This window comes from Homo sapiens, chromosome 16, assembly GCF_000001405.40.
Source record: "Homo sapiens chromosome 16, GRCh38.p14 Primary Assembly".
Taxonomy (NCBI): Eukaryota; Metazoa; Chordata; class Mammalia; order Primates; family Hominidae; genus Homo; species Homo sapiens.
Window position 1 is genome coordinate 78,594,883 of NC_000016.10, and position 19,420 is coordinate 78,614,302.

The 19,420-nt window shown below is 43.1% G+C and overlaps 1 protein-coding gene and 1 long non-coding RNA gene across 3 annotated transcripts in view, besides 1 other annotated feature; both read left to right on the forward strand.

Moving 5' to 3' along the window:
* WWOX (WW domain containing oxidoreductase) overlaps window positions 1-19,420 on the forward strand; it is a 1,113,014-nt gene that overhangs the window by 495,229 nt on the left and 598,365 nt on the right. The window lies entirely within an intron of this gene.
* LOC105371354 (uncharacterized) lies at window positions 13,595-19,049 on the forward strand. Its single transcript, XR_001752380.2, has 2 exons — window positions 13,595-13,693; window positions 18,058-19,049. It is a non-coding gene; the product is annotated as an uncharacterized LOC105371354 (long non-coding RNA).
* Window positions 17,014-17,557: an enhancer, noted in NCBI's record as "NANOG hESC enhancer chr16:78645793-78646336 (GRCh37/hg19 assembly coordinates)". NCBI's record gives its function as "activates a minimal SCP1, AML or CMV promoter by ChIP-STARR-seq in naive H9 embryonic stem cells {active_cell/tissue: H9 hESC(naive)}" and the evidence as "EXISTENCE:reporter gene assay evidence [ECO:0000049][PMID:30033119]".

Sequence of the window (19,420 nt, forward strand, 5' to 3'; positions counted from 1 at the left end):
CCTATGCATATTGCAAGTAAAGAATTATAATTAAGAGAACCAGAAGGGCCTGTCTCTCAGGAAAGCAGTGATTTCCTTTCACAATAACCCTATCCTTACTGTTGAAGACTTGTGGAAAAGGGACATGGCCCAGGGAACCAGAGTGGTTTGGGAAAGCACTTTGTCAAGAGGCTTGGGGACCCCAGGGTGGAAGCTGCCATGCGCATGAGGCTGTGTTAGCAGAGGCAGTGGCAGAAGAAGACATTGCAAACCTGCAAAAGCAACCTCTGAGGATGGGTAGACATATACTTCATTGCAGGCAGCTGCTGCTGAAATAGATTTGGAGTCAGATGTCATATTCCTGCCAGCAGGTTTAGCAGTCGTGGGACTAGGGAAGTGGCAATGGCAGGAGCAACTGGAAATGTCTTTTTTTTTTTCCTCCTTTTTCCTGAATATGGAACCAAAGCCTGTGTTTTTCTTGCTCACATGTGAGTCTTCTCCTTGCTTCAACCCTCCCCGCTGACAGCCACAAGACTCCTGCCTCCCTGCAGCCTGTGGAACGTAATATTCGTTGGGATCATACATTGACCAAAGATCCGCCATGTCTTTGCAACTAACATACTCACTCATGACTTCACGTGGCTATGTACAAGACCACATCTCTCAATGGTGAGGTCCTCAATCTCTCCCTCCCCACCACAGTTAGCTATCAGAGATATACGGTGTCCTTAAGATAGGGCAGGCAGGGCCACCTGCCCCCCAGCTGACCAGTGTGGATGTCTTGATGATGAGCCATACTCAGAGTGGCCCTAGGATGGCTCCTCAGATAGCTGCTGGCAGAAACCTGCACTCAGTACATCTATACATGGTGTAATGATTGACTCAAGATAATTAGCATAGCCATCATCTCAAACCTTTATTATTTGTGATGAGAAGATTCAAAACCCGCTTTTTGAACTGTTCTGAAATATGCAATACCTTGTTGTTAACTGTATTCACCTTTCTGTGCAACAGGGCACCAGAATTTATTTTTGCTATCTAAAATATCAATTAAAAATACAATAAAACTAAAAAGAAACCTGAACTCAGGAGAGTGGAAAAGAACTTCAACATTCAAAGGGGATAAGACATATACTCAGAGTGGGAAAAATACTAAATGGTAGGAAGATGAGAAGTTTTTTACTCTTTGTTGTTTCTGCTCATTTTTTATATTCAAAATTTCTAATCATGTGTGACTATATATGTATTATACATGGTAGGACTTATTTTTTTAATGTGAAAGAATATAAAACAAAATACGATATTATCTTTTGAGTGATATCAACAAAACAAAACATGATATCCAAAGTCACCCTGTATGGTTGGATACTTTGGGTTTGCCATCTTTTCTTTTGTTCATTTGTTTCATGCAATAGAAACGTTTTGAGATCCTGTCTGGCTGGGTTCTGCTAGGCCTGGGTCTACAGCAGTTTGCTGTCAAGGTCTTGGCCCTTCAAGAGCATGTAGTGTGGTGGGGAAGGTGTACATCAGTGAAGAGGTAATCCAGGTCACGGTGGGATGACACAGGCTGCTGTGGCAACCCACAGCAGGAATAGCCAGTCCTGCCCCAGCAGGGCGTATCAGGGGTGCTAAGGTGACTTCCAAGATTGAGGTTGGCGAGATCGTGACAGGTGTGCAAGATGGGGTGTTCCAAGACTGGGGACAGGACAGGTGTGCAAGGACCAGCCAGCTGAGGTAGAGGAAACCTAGACCTATGGAACATGCTGATTTCAAGGTCCATTTGTGGGGAGAACACGGACTGTGTCATTGGAAGCCAGCAGGGAGAATCAGTTGAGAGGTAAGCCGGGCCTAGTAGAAAGTAAGCGAAGCCCTTTCATTAAGTGAACGAAGGGTGCATGGTGAGTACACAGCCATGAAAATAAAATGATATAAATCAGCACGGTTTCAGCTGCCCTCATCTTTCTACTGTGATCTCAGCAGTGATGGGGCTGGCTTTGAGGGTTGGAGATCACACACACACAATCAGCCAGCTCTCCAAAGCAAGCCCCACACTCTCTTGATGCTATCCTCAATAAACATGCGGTCTAAACAGTAACCATGTTCTAGCTATGCAGATGCAGTTTAAAGACAAATCCTTTGAGCCTCCAGCATGCGATCCCCTCCCAATCTCATTGCTGCTCCCCTACCCTCTTCTGCGTAGAAGCGCTGGAGCCAGGTGCTTACGACCTGGGTGCTAGTATCTTTGTGAAAACTGCTCCTGACCTATTGCTTTGTTTATTTTAGCCGGTGCCTTTGTAGAGGGAAAACAGCTTAGCAAGCATTTAGTAGGTAGATCCAAAGTCCCCAGGAGCTGTTGGGAAGTCCATAGGTGCTGTTTCCATTGCTTTTTCATTCCTTCATATATTAATCAAGGAGTCAGTCAATCAATTAAACGGATACTATTAGCACCTACTGTGTGCCGGGCACTGTACTTGGGGCCATATGCACTGCTGATTCATTCATTTGGATTCTACGGTGGCTCTTTACCCATTGCCATCATTTTGTAGGCAGTGAGTGCCCGCATCAGTGGGCGTTTTATGTTGCACCATTTTCTGAGCAATGTCTTTGGTCCACCATTAAGCATTTGTGGCCGCCCACCCCACAATATGCTTTGCTTTCTGCTTTCAGAAACAATACTGGTGACCTGTTTTAAGAAAAGCTGAAAAGCCAGGACTTAGATTTTTCTGGAAACCTTCAAATTAACCTCATTAAGTTTAAAATTGTTTTTTTCTCGTTCATCTCTCTTGCTTTTATGCTTTCCAAACCCCTAAATTGTGGTGCCTCAGTGATCTTCTATAACATAAGTTGATAGTCAATAATTGCTTAATGGGAATCATAAATATGAGTTTATTTATATGTGTATATATATATATATATATAAAATATATTTCCATGAATATACTGAATGCTAAGCCCTCCCCACTTTTTTTTTCTTTTTTAAATTCAGAAATTTCTAGTTGTGTTTATTCCCCTCGTCAGCATACTTTATCATATCAGAGCCTTTTCAGACACTGTAAAACTACTGAGTTATGTTTGGGTCATGTTTTGCGGTATGCCCTTTAATAGTGTAGCTTTAGAAATGCAATTTTCAGCCTCTGCTTATTAGAATATGATAAAGTATTCCTGGTCTATGTCCAGCTCCACTAATCTCCAGACTGCGCTTCATGAATTAAGCATGAAGATTTTAGTCAATGTGCTTTCAAAGACCAATGTTTAGGGAATCATGGATTTTCTACAAGCTGAGGGAGAAATCTATAATAGGAGGAACTGATTTTCAAACATCATATTCTCAAGAAGAAATGACCACTTCTGGCCCAGAAACAGAAAATATTTCACTATCAGAATTTTCTAGAACCAGTTAAAACCACATTGTGCTGTTAGGTTTAATAAACGGATTGTGTTTTAAGATGTGTAAGACTGTCTGTCACGTGGGAGGATTTCAAATGACTGCTTATTTTGGAAAGCTCATGTAGACTGGGTTAAAATCGAGAGGGGAATGCAAATTGAATTTATAAGGTATTATTAACTTCTTCCTCTTTCCCCCCGCCCTGGCCCCTGTGCATTTTGGTTCATTTTGCTCTGATACAATTCAGCAAATAGCCAGATATTTCTTGCCATGGCGAGAGCTTAGTTGGGGGAGAGATTTTGACCAGGCAGGCTCTCAGGTCGGTGCCATCGGTGACGCCAACACACCTCCTGGCTTGGTGTGTTTTGTGGCATTTGGCAGGCAAACGTTTTGAAAAGAAATCTCCTTTCAAAAATCACAGCACTGGTTGAAGCAGGAGCATCTCTCCCCTTAAATGCAAAAGGAGTTAATATGCCAGTGACTACAGTGTGCCTGGAAAGGTCACTGGAGGCATTTTTGTCTGGGGCAGCCCCTGGAGTCTTGGCTTTTGTGCTTGGTGAGACCTTATCTGGCCTCTTCATTGTCCCCTTCATACAAATAGATAGCTTTTAGTGAGCAGCTACTCTGCCTGGCACTGTTCTAAACACATGACACCAATAGCTCACTCAGATTCCCGCCTCTCAACAGGGAAACTGAAGCACAGGAAGTTTCAGTGATGCACTTAGGCAACCAGTAAGTGGCAGGGTCGGCATTGAGGTCAAGACTGGTTGGACCCCTAAGTTTGAACAATCAAACTGGACTTTGGGGCTCACAGTTTGTTTCATGTCAGGAAGGTGTCCGATCAGAACCTGAATGCCAGCTCAAGCTGCTCTCAGCTAAACTCCAGGGGTTGCTGATGGAGACTTCATCCCCTCCTCCAGTCCCGGGATCAAGACAGAAATGTAAATCACCTCCAAGAATGGGTCTGCGTCTTGCACATTTTCCTTTTGAGAAAGAGGAAAATTCTCAGCTGGTCTAGCTTTGTCTGTGAACCTCCGGGATCTCTCAGGGGCTTTAAATTAATTAATCAATCCACAGACATTGAACTGAATCTCCACCTTGGGCTTGAGACTCTGCAAAGTGCATTAAATGGGAAGGAAACCAAAGGGCCTGCTGCCCTGCCCCCGCCATAGCCTAAGGCTGTGGCCATGGCTGGGGAATTGGCCTGTCAGTTCAATCAGGCAGCCCCTCTGACTGGTGTTTTTCACTAAGCTGGCCCCATGGATGGCCCTGGTCATGTGTAGACATGGCCTCAGGAGGGCCACATTCCTCTCATTTCCAGGCCTCCCCACTTAATTGTTCCTGACACAGTTTGGGGAGAAATGCAGCAAAACCCAGGCCTGCCAATCAACATTTGCTCCCGAGTCTCAGAGCGGCCCCTGAAGAGACAGGTTGGACCAAGGGACATCCACAGATGCCTTGTGTTTAGGAAGTGGGGTGTGGGCAACAGAGGGAGAATTGTTACCCCCGGGAGACTGGGGGTGCTGAAGAAGAGTCTCAGTCTCTGCACTCTGGGTCTTGCCAAAACCTCTGGGATTGGGTGTGGTGTCCATGTTGAGGAAGGGACAGTGAGCTCTCTAAATGACAGTGGGTCAACCACCGCATTTCTAGGACTCAAAGATGCCGTGGGGGTGTATTAGTCTGTTTCCTTGCTGTTGATAAACACATACCTGAGGCTGCATAATTTATGCAGGAAAGAGGCTTAGTGGACTCACAGCTCCACATGGCTGGGGAGGCCTCACAACCATGGTGGAAGGCAAGGAGGAGCAAAGTCATATCTTACATGGTTGGCAGCAGGCAAAGAGTGAGCTTGTGCAGGGAAACTCCCCCTTATAAAACCATCAGATCTCGTGAGACTTGTTCACTATCACGAGTAAAGCACAGGAAAGACTTGCCCTCATGATTCAGTTACGTTCCACCGGGGCCCTCCCACAACACATGGGAATTGTGGGAGCGACAGTTCAAGATGAGATTTGGATAGGGACACAGCCAAACCATATCACAGGGTCACCTGTAGGTTACCGTAAATAAGAGAAACAGACCAAGTAGAGACTCAGCATAGCTGGAGGGGGGGCCCCAGATGACGGAAACAGCCCCCCAGCTCCAGCCATTTGTTACTGGGTTGTTTCCAACAGAATCAAGGACTCGGATTTTTATGTGAAGTCATCTCCATTTTAAGTATTCTTTTCTTTCCCCCCAACCCTCCGTGGGTTAAAGCATCCATGTTTACAGAATGAAAGATGAGGGCAGGATACCACTTCTCCTAGGGATCATCATCATTTTGTGGGGCTATAGTCCAGAGAGGTGAAGGACCCATCTTGTGACTGCACAGCTACCCTGTGGCATGACTGAGACTATAATCTTCTGGATTCTTCAGGAAACCCTGGTAGCTGATGAAACTGCCCTAGAACGACAGCAAGACAATAGGGCCATGAAAGCATAAGCCCTGAAGTCTGGACACTGAGAGAATTCTAGGCTTGACTTCTCTGTACAGCCATCTTGGGAGTGCTCAACCCTTTGAATCGGATGTCTAGAATGGACTCAGATGTCACTGTGCAGGTGACTCACGCCTAGAATCCTCTGCCTATCGTGACAGGGAGAAGCCTGTGTGACCCTGTGGCCATCTCAGTCTCTGCAGGGCATCTGTAGCTTTGGAGGTACCTGGGCAAGAGACTGCCTTTCCTACTAGAGCTTCTGCCATCCCTCTGTCACTATTTAAAGCATTGCCTGCACCCTCAACCTCGTTCAGTTTCCACATAATACCTGGGGCAGGGATGTAAATACCCTGATTTTATGTGTCAGGCCTTCAGGACTCAGGGTGTATAAGTGACATGGCTCCTCGCACAGCAGGGATGGAGAGGCAAACCCAGGTTGGCCTCTCTGCCACTCATATAGAACTCCTTTATCACCAAGATTCCTTTCTTCTTCAGTGCCACCTGCCTTATTTTACTCACCCAGAAGGAAGCCGGGTCCCTCTTTGCCCCTTTGGGTGTTTGTGAAAAGCAAGTTGCAAACTCTGAATTCTATAAACTGTTGGAGACAGATTCTGGAGAGACACTCAGGCTTAGCTCTAGAAAGAAACGGGTAAGACAGAGGAGGTTCAGGGCAACTGTGTTGCCTTCCTTGACTGGTGCATGGGAATTCCCCAGCAGAGAGAAAAAAAAAAAAGAAAGGAAAAAAACCAGAAAGGAGAATAGAATCTATTATCTCCAAGCCATTATTCACACACACATACCCCACCGCCATTTTCCAAATTGTAAGGTCTTTTTATATAAGCACTTTCCGTTAAAGGGGAAGAAATAGCTTTACCCGTGGTGTAAAATATATACTTTCTAATGTAAATCAAGAAGCTATGAATACCATAATAAGAATGTGGTAGTATATTAATTGATGGAAATTGTAGAGTGGAATATTCATAATCAGCAGAAGTCTTTTCTCTGGAAGGAACAAAGGATTAAGTTAGGGAGACAGTAATGGTATTGTTAGCAGGCTATTTCAATGATTTTCTCTGCGGAAGAGTAGGGAAAGGTGACATTCCAACTGGGAATATTCGACTCTGCAGATCCCTACTCGGAGTTTTTCAGCCCTGTTTTAAGTGCCGAGCTGGGTTTTGCCTCATGATCCAATTGTTTTATTAGCGAAATCATCATCTGTTTCATTTTGCTTTGGTAATAGTGCAGTGTCTGTCTAACAATAAATTATAGAGTCAGGCAAACAATGGTTTCGTATTAGGGATATAATGAAATATCTTATTAAAATGCAGACTTCCTTAGGTTCCTGAAATTAGAGTCTTATTTTAAAATGATTCTGTTGGGCTTATTACACGCTTTTGAACTAATCACACTAGTAGAATCTCTCTTTAGTCAGAGCATAGAGGACTGTGAGAGTTACCTCTTACTTCAGTATTTTCCCATTCGTATTTTATTCTCCTGTTCTCTTCTGGATAGATCTGGATAGATTTTTTTTAGACAGAGTCTCGATCTGACAGCCAGACTGGAGTGCAGTGGTGTAATCTCGGCTTACTGCAACCTTCACCTCCTAGGTTCCAGCGATTCTCCTGCCTCAGCCTCCTGAGTAGCTGGGACTAAAGGCACGTGCCACCACTCCTGGCTAATTTTTTATATTTTTAGTGGAGACGGGGTTTCACTATATTGGCCAGGCTGATCTCGAACTCCTGCCCTTGTGATCCACCCACCTCGGCCTCTCAAAGTGCTGGGATTACAGGTGCTAGCCACCACACCCGGCCTCTTCTCGATAGATCTTATTTGGCTGACAACGAAAGCTGTTGTGCTGGTAGCATCATCCCTTTCCATGCAAAAGATAAACTGAAATCTAAAGTAGCCATATCCTTCCGGCCAGGTTTTTCAAGTGGTTACTCTGTTCTGATCATTGTCATGACAGGAATAGTGAAAATAACAATAAATCATTTTTCTTTAACGATCCATTTACTGTATGCTGGGCACTGCACAAAATGGTTTACATGGTTTATCTTGTAGCGTTCCATTTAAGTCTGCTAAGAGTAGATGCTATCATTCTCTCCATTTTACAGATAAGAAAATTGAGGCTTAGAGAAATTGAGTAATTTTTGCCAATCCTGAGACTTGAATCTCCGCTCTGTCTTCTGCATACACTTTTTACTTGTCATTGCTGATTAGCTTTCTCTTTCCATCTCCCTGATCAGAACCATTCTGCGTTCTTAGATTCAACAAAATGTAATACTCCACCTTGCCAGTATCTAGCGTGTTTTCAGAAATTGTGAACGGGGTGGAGGTGGAGTACTAACTGCAATCAGATGTTTTATTTGTTTATTTATTTTTCCTTCTTGCGTTGCTCTTAAGCCCCCACTCTTGGGCAAGGCTCTGTGCTATGCTGTTTTATGCACATCATCTTCTAACAGCTTCTCTGCCACACCTGGAGAAGTGCCAATATCATTTTCATGGCACAGATAAGGCATTGGATGCTCATAGTTTAAGTCATCAGGTGGTGACTGGAGGAGCCAGAAGGTCCCTTTGGGCCTGTCCTCTCACCAGCATCAACTGCACCAAAAAGATCTCATTCTGAGTATCAGGGATGAACGCCCCCACTGGGTGATCAGGCAAACTACATGCATTTTAAAAAACTATATCCTGCTGGGTGCAGTGCCTCATGCCTGCAATCCCAGCATTTTGGGAGGTTGAGGAGGACGGATTACTTGAGGCCAGGAGTTCGAGACCAGCCTGGCCAACATGGTGAAACCCCATCTCACCTAAAAATAAAAAATTAGCTGGGCGTGGTGGCAGCCACCTGTAGTCCCAGCTACTCAGGAGACTGAGGCAGGAGAATCGCTTGAACCCAGGAGGAGGAGGTTGCAGTGAACTAAGATTGTGCCACTGCACTCCAACCTGGGCAACAGAGTGAGACACTCTCAAAATAAGTAAATAAATATAAAATAAAATAAAAAATATGTCCTGTAATGAAATTGAAAGAGAACACTTTGTTTCTTATCTAGTTGGAACAAGTGGGGTGGGGACAGACAAGTGACTGACCACTCTCCATCTGACTCAGTGTCAGTAGACTCTCTCAAAAATTAGAAGCTGGCTGACATAGTGGCTCACACCTGTAATCCCAGCACTTCAGGAGGCTGACGTGGGAGGATTGCTTGAGCCTAGGAGTTCAAGATCAGCCTGGGTAACATAGGGAAACCCTTCTACTACAAGACATAGAAGAAAATTAGTTGGCCATGGTGGCACACACCTATAGTCCCAGCTACTAAGGAGGCTGAGGCGGTAGGATCGCTTGAGCCCGGGAGGTGGAGGCTGCAGTGAGCTGTGATCACGCCACTGAATTCTAGCCTGGGTGACCGAGACCTTGTCTAAAAAATAAATAAATAAATAAAATTAGAATCTGAATTTTGAAGACACAAATTCAGATGCATGTGGATGGGCCCAAAATACTTTGTTTACATGTACTCCAAATGTAACTCCTGGGGCACCCTTCCTTATTTTCTCTACCACACCAATGCCTTCATGGTCTTACATCTTGTCCTCTTAACCCTGACTTCTCTAGCCCTCATGAATGCTTTAGTGTGGCAGATGTTACTGTACATGGGCCCTCGTTTATTCAGCAAATATTCATGGAGCCCTTGTACCAAGCACGGTGCTGAGTGATGCTGTGAGGGTGAGCAAAAGAGAATTGTCATCTGTTAAATCCCAGAGGTCCGTCTGTGACAAAACTTTCACCATTCTTTTGTAAAAATTAGAAAAATACAAAATAGTGAGTTTTTCATGAGCTACGTTGTATCAATTTTAAAGTATTTCTTTTAGGATTCTATTATTTACCCTTTTTCTTCAATGTTAAATACCATTTCCTTTAATAAAGATTTAAAAAAGATTCCTTCCTTCCTTCCCCCCTCCCTCCTTCCCCCCTCCCTCCTTCCCCCCTCCCTCCTTCCCCCCTCCCTCCTTCCCCCCTCCCTCCTTCCCCCCTCCCTCCTTCCCCCCTCCCTCCTTCCCCCCTCCCTCCTTCCCCCCTCCCTCCTTCCTCCCTCCCTCCTTCCCTTCCTCCCTCCCTCCTTCCCCCCTCCCTCCCTCCTTCCCTTCCTCCCTCCCTCCTTCCCTTCCTCCCTCCCTCCTTCCCTTCCTCCCTCCCTCCCTCCCTGTCTTCTTCCCTCCCTCCCTCCCTTCTTTCCTTCCTTTCTTTCCTTCCTTTCTTTCCTTCCTCCCTCCCTCACTCCCTCCTTCCCTTTTTCCCTCCCTCTCTCCCTTCCTCCCTTCTTTTCTTTCCTTTTTAAATGCTGATTTTGTTTTCTTTTTAAAGCCCTCAGTTGGCAAACTTAAAAGTTGTTAAGTCTGTGTTAGCCTGGCTAGCTTTTTTTTTCTCTACTAGACCTTCAAAGTCTAGGAATGCCTGATGTATCTGTATCCTGTGAGTTTGCCACTTCATGATATTTGATATGTCATTGTTTCCCCATAATTTTTTCATTGTTAGCGTTGTCTCTCCAGCCTCCTGCTTCCTCTTCCTCTGTCTCCCTCATGGTGTGTCTTGCTCAGGCATGTCTTATATAATCAATATTTAGTGATTTGACTTCTTAAGTCCTTAAAAAAAAAAAAATCCAGGTGCAAAACACAAAGACAGGGCTCATGTCAAGGGAGGGAACCTCGCTCTTCTACTCTCAGTGAAAGAAAGGCAAGACCACTCCAGCCTATTTTTTTTTTCTTTCCCTTGGCCCTTGTCAAAAGGGTAGCCAGTTTTCTGTTACCATTGTGCTAACTGAAGAATGGAAAATATGCCCAGAGTTTAAAAAAAATCAACCAATGCCTGCCCTTTCTAGAGCAACCTAATTAACAACCCAAATGTTAAAATTTCTTTATTTAGAAACTCAGCTATCCAGAATTACAACTCCGCCTCTCGTGCTTGGAGGCATAGTTCTTTGTCATATTCCTGAGTGTCTACAGATGATGAAAATAGCCAGTTATCTTTGCCCTTCATGGAAAGGATAGGAAGAAGCTCTGATGAAGCAATGTTGGGGCACTCATGGTTAAATTGAACCTTTCCCCTGGTTAAGTGGAGTGTGTGTGTGTGTTGTTCTTTTTTTCCAGCACCATATTTGGCCCTATAATTAATATGCAAGTTCAAATACCTCTTGCATGGAGCAAGAAGCTGAAACATGCGCATTTGTAATAGACTCAGCATCTGAATTGAATGGGCAGCTTTGGCTGGAGTAGTACTGCAGCTTCTCGAATGCCTATTGTCAAAATATATACTAGTTAGGAGACACATTCTGCTACGAGGGATGCCCTCCCAAATTAAAGACACTGTTCAGTTTACGCTTAACATTTATGGCTATCAAACTACTAGTCCACAACCAATCATCATGGTTTCGTTAACACAGTCAAAATTTACCACTGGGCTATTATTAAAACTTAATATAATTAATGTAAAAACACATACTTCTTTTCAACAAAAACTGGCTCTCTTTGTAGTCTCTTTTTTAATTTGGTGCAATCACTTAAAAAGTTTAGCACATTTAAAATTTTACATCATTTTAAAATTGTTTCTCTTTTATAAGAAGGATGCTATTTACTATTAATGTAGAAGTACAAAGGAAACGGTTACTTTGGATTTATTCTTTTGGAAAATTAGAATGTGGGCTACATGCTTTTCAGAAGTTGATGACCAAGAGAAGAAAGAAAGAAAAAAAAAAGGGTGCTTGATGCCCTGCTCCTGCTATGTCCGGGAATTTCTTGTACCCTTCATATGAGCCCCTCTGAACAAAAGCAAATCCTGTTGACCTGTCAGCTTAAAAAGACAAGAAATATGCCACATTCCGCAGGAATAAGGAGAAAAGAATGGTGCGAAAATCAGTGACACGAAGTTGAATATGTGAACACATCCAGACAAATGTGAAGCCAGCCCGATTAGGACGACTGAAAGGGCATTTCCCCAGAATTGCAGTTTTTTTTTTTTTTTTTTTTTTTTAAATAGGGGACGCTATTGTCATTCAGAAAGCCACAGGCTGTTCTGAAAACAGGCAAAAATCAATAGCCCACTTGTTGAGGATAAGTGAATTAGCCTGTGTTGAATGTAACTGAGTACCTGAACACTTGAGTGGGCAGGGATTGTTGGGGAGAAAAGACAATTGTCTTTTATGTCCACAGCGGTTCACATCGCTGATTAATTATGTCCAATGATCATTTTTGTGCAGGACTAATGGGCAGACTCTGTTTTTGTTTTTGTCTGTCTGCCCACAACCTGGTGAACTGAATAGAGTTCCCCACTTCTCAGAACAATGCAAATGGTGGCCAAGGGGCTGTGGAAGAGTTGCCAGAAATGGAATGATTCAGATTGGATGAAAAGTTGATTTTATTAATTAGTTAAAATACAAAATGAGAAAACAGAAAACACAATAAATACACAGTTAATAAAATACTTCATATTTTATTATAAAAACATTAATTACTTTAATAAAGCGGTTTATATTTTCAAATACAATATTTAATAAACTATATTAAAAATATATACAAAATAGTTGTAAGAATCGGGGCTCCTGTGAGTACGTAAATGAAATACGCTTACATCATTTACTTCTCTTCCCTTTTGTTTGTGAGTCCAGAGACGATGGAAGAGTTTGGAAAGTTGTCAGCTTATCTTTGCATATATTTGTCCAATGATAATTAAGCACAAATTGTTTCAAAAATCTTTCAAAAATTGTTATAAAGATTTTTATTGGTGCTAAGGGCTGTAATTTAGCAAAGTCTTACACCTGAAACCAACCAAAGGGTCTTAGAGTGTGAACTGTTGTCTTAGACCCGGAGAAGTCTCCAAAGAATGACCATCCGAGGCATTCAGCTGGCGTAAGAGGAGTGACTCATTTGTTCTTCTTTTTTTTTTTTTTGGCTGTCTACAGAGAAGGAGGATATAGGGGCCCTTAAGAGAAAAACTGGAGTAGGGTGTGTGTGTGTTTGTTTTGGTCAAGGGCAGAGTGTGCTGTGTCAGGGTGTTTCATTGCATTTTCATATTTGTCATTTCTCTTTGGAGCGTGTCTTTTGGTGCCACGGAAAAGGGCTGGATTTTCTATCGGGTACAATAGGTACCTGCAGGGCTTAGGGTACAAGAGCTTGTCGGGGACCTGCACACATGTTTGAGACCTGTAAAAATATTGCTGGCTCTGAATTATGGAAAGAAAATCGCAAAGTTAAAATCTATCAAAGTATAATTAAATACCTACAAAACATAATATTATGTCACTAGTCAACCGCAACACAAATCTTATATCATTAGATTTCAGTGATATTGAATGTGGGAGATGGAACCATTTTAGTGCATTTGATATGATGTGATGTGGCTTTCTCCAAGCCTGAGAGTGCCTGAAACCCAGAGAGGTCGTACGTTGACCATGCCACGGGGCCCTTCCTGGTAAATCTAAGCAGAAATACACCATGCATGAGACAGAACAAAGAAAAGAACTGTGAAAATACACTCAGGACCAGGATGCTGATACAGTCATGAGGTTCAGCTTAAAAGGCCAGTTTCTCTACTGCAGAATAATGAGGTCTATCCTGTTTTGCTTTCTTTCAAAGCCCTTACCATTTATGAAACCAGATTGCAAGTCTGTTTGAATCCCCCAAATGCCTGTGCTACATAACTGTCTCCTTACTCTGTGCTCTTGCCCCAGGCAGAGTGGAAGTTGCCTTATAAAGCTGCGACTTGGCCACAGTGTTTTCCCTTTCAGCAGGGAAACCGGAGTTCTCCCTGCTGTTGGGAGGTTCAAGAGCCACTCTGTGCAGAAATGCCCAGAAAGAGTTAAGTGAGGTAAGTTCGTCAGACTTCTGCAGACCCATACTGTGGAAGGGTCAAGTGCAGGGTCACCAACCCGTTCCATCTTCCTGTCAGTTGGCGTCCACCCTTGGTTTCAAAGGGAACAGGCATTACTGACATGACGGGACCTTTACAGTTCCCAGCTGCTCATTTGGAGTACTGCGGACCCAGGACAACTAAAGCCGGGGTCGCCTGCCCTCCAGGGGTTCCTGGGTTGAAGTATCTGTTCCCTCCCTTTATTTTTTCTAGCCTTTATAGAAATGACAAAGGGTCAGGTGGTCTTAAATTCCAAATCTGGGCACATGAATGGTCTGACCTCGGAAACTTCCTATATGCTCGAAACGATTTAACTAGCAGCAATAAAATCTCTACTCTTTTTATGACAAATAATCTAGCATGTCTGGGGAGCATATTTGATTCTTCATATTTGGGACCCTTTTTTAAAGGCTGAGTTTTATTAAAATGATAGAAAAATTAGTTATTAAACAGTATGTCAAATACCTTTCTGTCCCACCAGATTTATTTTTAAAGACAAACATTACAGAGGGGCAGGGGAAGGTTATATTTGAAATCTTTCTATCCTTTCTCTAAAATATATTTGGTGAAAACTAGGAAGTGTTGATAGATATCATTGTTTCCTGACAGGTTTTTGGTGTTTGCATCTTGAAAGTAAAACTGCCAAGTTATTTTTTTGTTCTGGTTTTTGTTTTTTAAGCTTTTCTTTGATAACCTCATTTTCAAGGGGAGGCTTAGCACTGATGTATTTTATTTTCTTGCTCAGAGAGGAAACACTGAAATAGCTATATGCTTCCCCACCAGGAGAGTGGAAGAATCTTGCTTTTAAAGCGATAGTCCTATTTTCTAAGTAAAAGTCCAGGCATGTGACTTAAAAAAGAAAAAAAAAAATGTTTTCTGGTCAAGTCACATGCCTCTGAGGTTTTTTTTTTTCTTTCTTTCTTTTCTTTTTTTTTCTTTTTCCCAGACTCCTCATACCCCTCCTAGGAGACAGTGATTCCCTGGCTTCACCAGGCAGGCTCTTGGGGGCTTCCTGGTCCCTGTCACTCTTAAAATGCAGCCTGTCTTTGGACATCTACTCCAAGTTTGCATTCTGCCTTGCCTTGTCAGTCTGGGCTATCAAAAATATAGTTTCGTTTGGAAAACAAAGGGGTGAGGTGGGTCCAAAGTACAGGAAGCTATACCATGCAAATGAAAATATTTTTTCCAAAGCTATCTGCTAATCCCTGTGATTTAAAAATGTGCGTGTTTTTAGTTTCTGTCTAATTTCAACCTTTTCTTGCTTTAGTGATTAATTACCAGGTTTCTCTATTAAGAGCTTGTGCGTGTGTAGGGGGTAGCATAGAATAAACAGGCTCAGAGCCCCCACCCCCACCCCCCTTTAAGTAACAGTGACGCAAACGACCTTTATTTAGCAGAAGGTAGCTCTGCGAATCCGCTGAATGTCCGATTGCGATCTCGCTGGAAAGACTGCTGCTTCAGCAAGGTTTCTTTGCTGGTCTGTGGCAAGGTCCCTGCTTCATTTTCAAGGTGTCCTCACTTGGTGCCTTTGAAGGGTTTTTAATGGATTCGCTTGATATACCTTCCAAATGGAGTACTTTGTGCGTTAATTCAGTTTGTGATAAAGATCCCTTTTACCCTCCTTTTCATAATTCTTCCCAGAGATATGAAGTACACTAGAAGGTTAGATGTGGCATTTAATTTTTCCACAAAACCTATCCATAGAGGGGGAAAAAAAGATTCAATTTCATTACTATTCATGTGTAAGAATATTGAAGGTGGTATACTAAAGGAGATAACTATTTCTTCTTCTATCAAAGGAAGAACAAATCTGTCTTTGAACGAGGAGCTCAATTCTTATTTAAAAGATAAAAGGTCACCTACAATACTCATTCCTTTAAAGCTATAGTGTTGGGGTGGGAAGGAAGCTGTCTTACCTGGACATATTAATTTTAAATTTTGCTTGAAAAAATTGCTCAGTGCATTTATTGACTAGTCTCTCTGTGTGAGTTCTGAAAGTCTGTTTATATCTGTTGCCCCTTCTCCTAAAGTGAACCCAGATATGTGGGTATGGGGTGCTAGTTTTTATATTAGGTCTGAGATGTGGAAAACAGAAATCTAACTTAGGGATGTATCATAATCAAACCGTCGGGGCTAATGGCATGGCTCTGATATTATAAAATCTGGAGGTTTGGAATGCAGCAAACTCTGGGGGCATTATCATTATTATTATTAATAGTTTGTATTTACAAATGTGGCATTAAGTAGAACAACGTATTCTTGCAATTAATGACAGGAAGCCTACAATTTCTCATTAAGCACAGGACAGTGAGAACGAACGGAATTTCAGAGACATGTTTCTTAACATTAAAAACAACAAAAACAACAACAACAACAAAAAACCAAGTAGGAAGCAGGCAGAGTTGCAATATGAAGAACAATTTCAATCATATGTTGTTTAATTGAGTTTAACAAGTAAATGTATATCCCAGTGTGTGTGGTCACCAAAGCATAATGACAAGTTGTTCATCATTTAATTAGAGATTTGCTTATTGAAACGACTGAAATAGGTAGTTGAAATTTTGCCCTTGGACAAGGGAGTAATTTGTGATTTGCTACGTTCATTTCGTGAGACTTTTGGTGAAAGACATCTCCTTCTCATATGTTTAGGCAAGCGTTGATGACATCAACCTAGCCTTTTATTTTAAATCCCCTGTCAACGCAATTAGATAATACAAAAATAACAAAACTACAGGAGGTTGAGGATGGGGCTGGGGGCCAAGGAGATTACTTGGTTTGAAATGAATAAATTGTCTATCCTAAGGGAATTCTTTGGTGCATTTTATTGTGTGAAATGAGCCTGGTCATATGACTGCCCTGCCTCCCTGGAGGCCTCCCTGCCCTCCTCCTTCCCACAGACACTTATGGGAGGTACTGGCCAGCTCTGTATGGCCAGTACTGCCCTAAGCAAGACCAAGAAGCTTAGTCTCAATTTCAGAGAGTTATTTTGGCAACATATTTGGGAAAATGATAGTTAGATGCTGCGTTAGCCAGCCTCTGCATGATTTTTTACGCAGAACAAACAGTTCCAAATATCAGTGCTTTCAGCAACTCATATATTTCTCACTTATGGTGCATGTCGCTGATGGTTGGCTGCTGCTCTGATCTCACTCCAGTATCAGCTTCAGTCAAGGAACGTATTGTTGTCAAGGAAAGGAAAAAGAACAGTGGTGAGACCAAAGGATCTTAAAGTTTCTACTTTGGAAGGGGCGTGGCATTGCTTCTCTCATTCCATTGGCTGAAGCAAATCATGTATACAAGCCAGAAGCCAATGAGCTATAGGAAGGGTAGCAAAGAACAGAACAGCCATACAGCCTAGCCCACAGATGGGGTCAAGAAGATTCAATAGGCATTGGCTGAAGACTTAAGACTTCTCAAGCAAGTTGGATCCTGGTGTGCACCTGGCATATCCTTTAGGATTCTTTAGTGTTGGTAGATTGAGATGGAAATGAGGAAACTTGTATTACCTACTCCTTTGGGCCAGAATTTGCTTACAGCACAGTGAGGAGGTATTCTTTGGAGAGCACTGTTTCCCAAGAGTGATTCTAACAAAGAGGTGTAAATGGACAAGAATGAAAAGCAATTGCAAGGGCCCTTGAAGGTTTGTGAAGGATGGCAAAGTGACTTGGATGTTGATTTCTAAAGGAGGTAAAACTTGAAGGTAGACAAGCTCTTTGTGTCCATACATTTGATGGGTCATCCTATGAAGGAGGGCCCATCTCTTACGGCAGGCAGCGTGGCGTAGGCCTCAGAGTCAGGCATCTGGGGCCCAGCCTTTTCTCTGCAGGTGCGGGTGGCTCTTGGCACATGATGTAGGTTTTTGTTTTTGTTTTGTTTTGTAGACAGAGCTCAATCTTTTGCCTAGGCCATAGTGCAGTGTACAATCAGATTTCATTGCAGCCTGGAACTCATGGGCTCAAGCATTCCTCCCACATCAGCCTGCCAAGTAGGACTACAGTTGTGCACTACCACACCTGGCTATTTTTAATTTTAGTTTCTGTAGAGACAGAGACTTGCTGTGTTGCCCAGGCTGGTCTCAAACTCCTGGCCTCTCAAGCCATCCTCCAGCCTCAGCCTCCCAAAGTGCTGGGATTACAGGCATGAGCCACCCCACCCAGCCCATGTTAATTTTTTCACCTACAAAATGAAGGCTACAATATTTACTTTGCAGGATTGCTGTAAGGATTAGAACCACCGTCTCTAAGGCATTCAGCATAGTCCCTTAGGGTAACATGAGTGCTCAAGAAATAGTAAATTTTAGTATGTGTCTCATTTTTTTCCAGATGCTCTGGGGTCACTACCAACCTTGCCTTTCACCCTACCTGTGGATCTATGACCCTGTCCTTCTCAGAACACCACTCAGTACTTCTGGGTTCCCCAAGAGGTGCCTCTTGAGAGTTTGTAGGAAACTGTGCTTTAGTAACTCATGGTTTCTGCCCTCAGCTTCTCTTGCATGGGGCCTTCCTGCTTGCTCCTCTGCTCACAATGACAAGTGAGGACTCCCCTCCATGCCTTTTGATGCTGGTGCCCATCACCCCGATCACATGAACGTCTATGCCCAGGTCCCATTTCCTGACATTCCCAACATCTCTACCTTCTCCGGGCCTAGGGCAGGGATCACTCTTTCAGAAACATGAGCGTATGGAAGCCCCAGTGTGTTCCTTGAAGTCCCGATGCGTGATTTGTCCCCATGCTGTGTCGCACTTGGTCATCTGGACCCTGGGGTTGCCTGAGTGTCCCTGTTACAAGGCCCCTCCTGAAACCAGATTGGTGTCTATGAGGGTCATCTGGGAAACCTACCTCTGGCAGAATCGCTGTCCTGCCAGTTTCCTCTCCCCCTTACAAGGGACATTTATGCTTTCTCCCTCTACAAAACCTGCATGCAAATTATCTGATGGAATTGACCCATAGTGGGTGTTCTCCACTGGTTCAACACACCTGAATTCCGGATTCAAGATGCAATCACCACTACTGTTGTTGTGTAAGTATTGCTAGAGATGGCTGCAGAATACCTGGGAAAGCTAGCTAAGCAGTGACTGGAGGAAGGCCCCAGCTCTTTGGAACGAACTTTCCAGCCGAGAATGCTTTCCAAAATGGGAACAAGATCCCAACCCCTTATCAGAAACTTTGGGGGCCGGATGTGTTTCAGAATTCAGAAGTTTTCAAATTTTAAGAAGAGAATACACTGCGTATTCTGTGTATTACAGGGGTCAGCAAATTCACAGCCCATAGGCCAAATCTGGCCTGTTTTTGTAAATAAAGTTTTATTGCTATACAGCTGTACCTGTTGGTTTACGTACTGCGATGGCTGCTTTCAGCTACGTTGGCAGAGCTCAGTAGTCATGACAGTAACCATATGCCCACAAAGCCTAAAATATTTACTATCTGGCTCTTTGCAGAAAATGCGCTGAACCTTGCATGTTGTGTCACCCCTGGAGGTAGCACCTTGTAATTAAGCACATGAATATCTCACATCAGAATGAATGAATATTCACACTCAGTGGGACAAACAACTTCTGTCAGCTGTAGACTGCTTTTGCCATCAAATGGTTATTGAAAGAACTATCTGTGTTGACAGCCTTTTGGGTTTCATACAGTCCTTTCCAGCTTGGGCAGTATAGATAAATAGATGCACAAAGCAGAGGG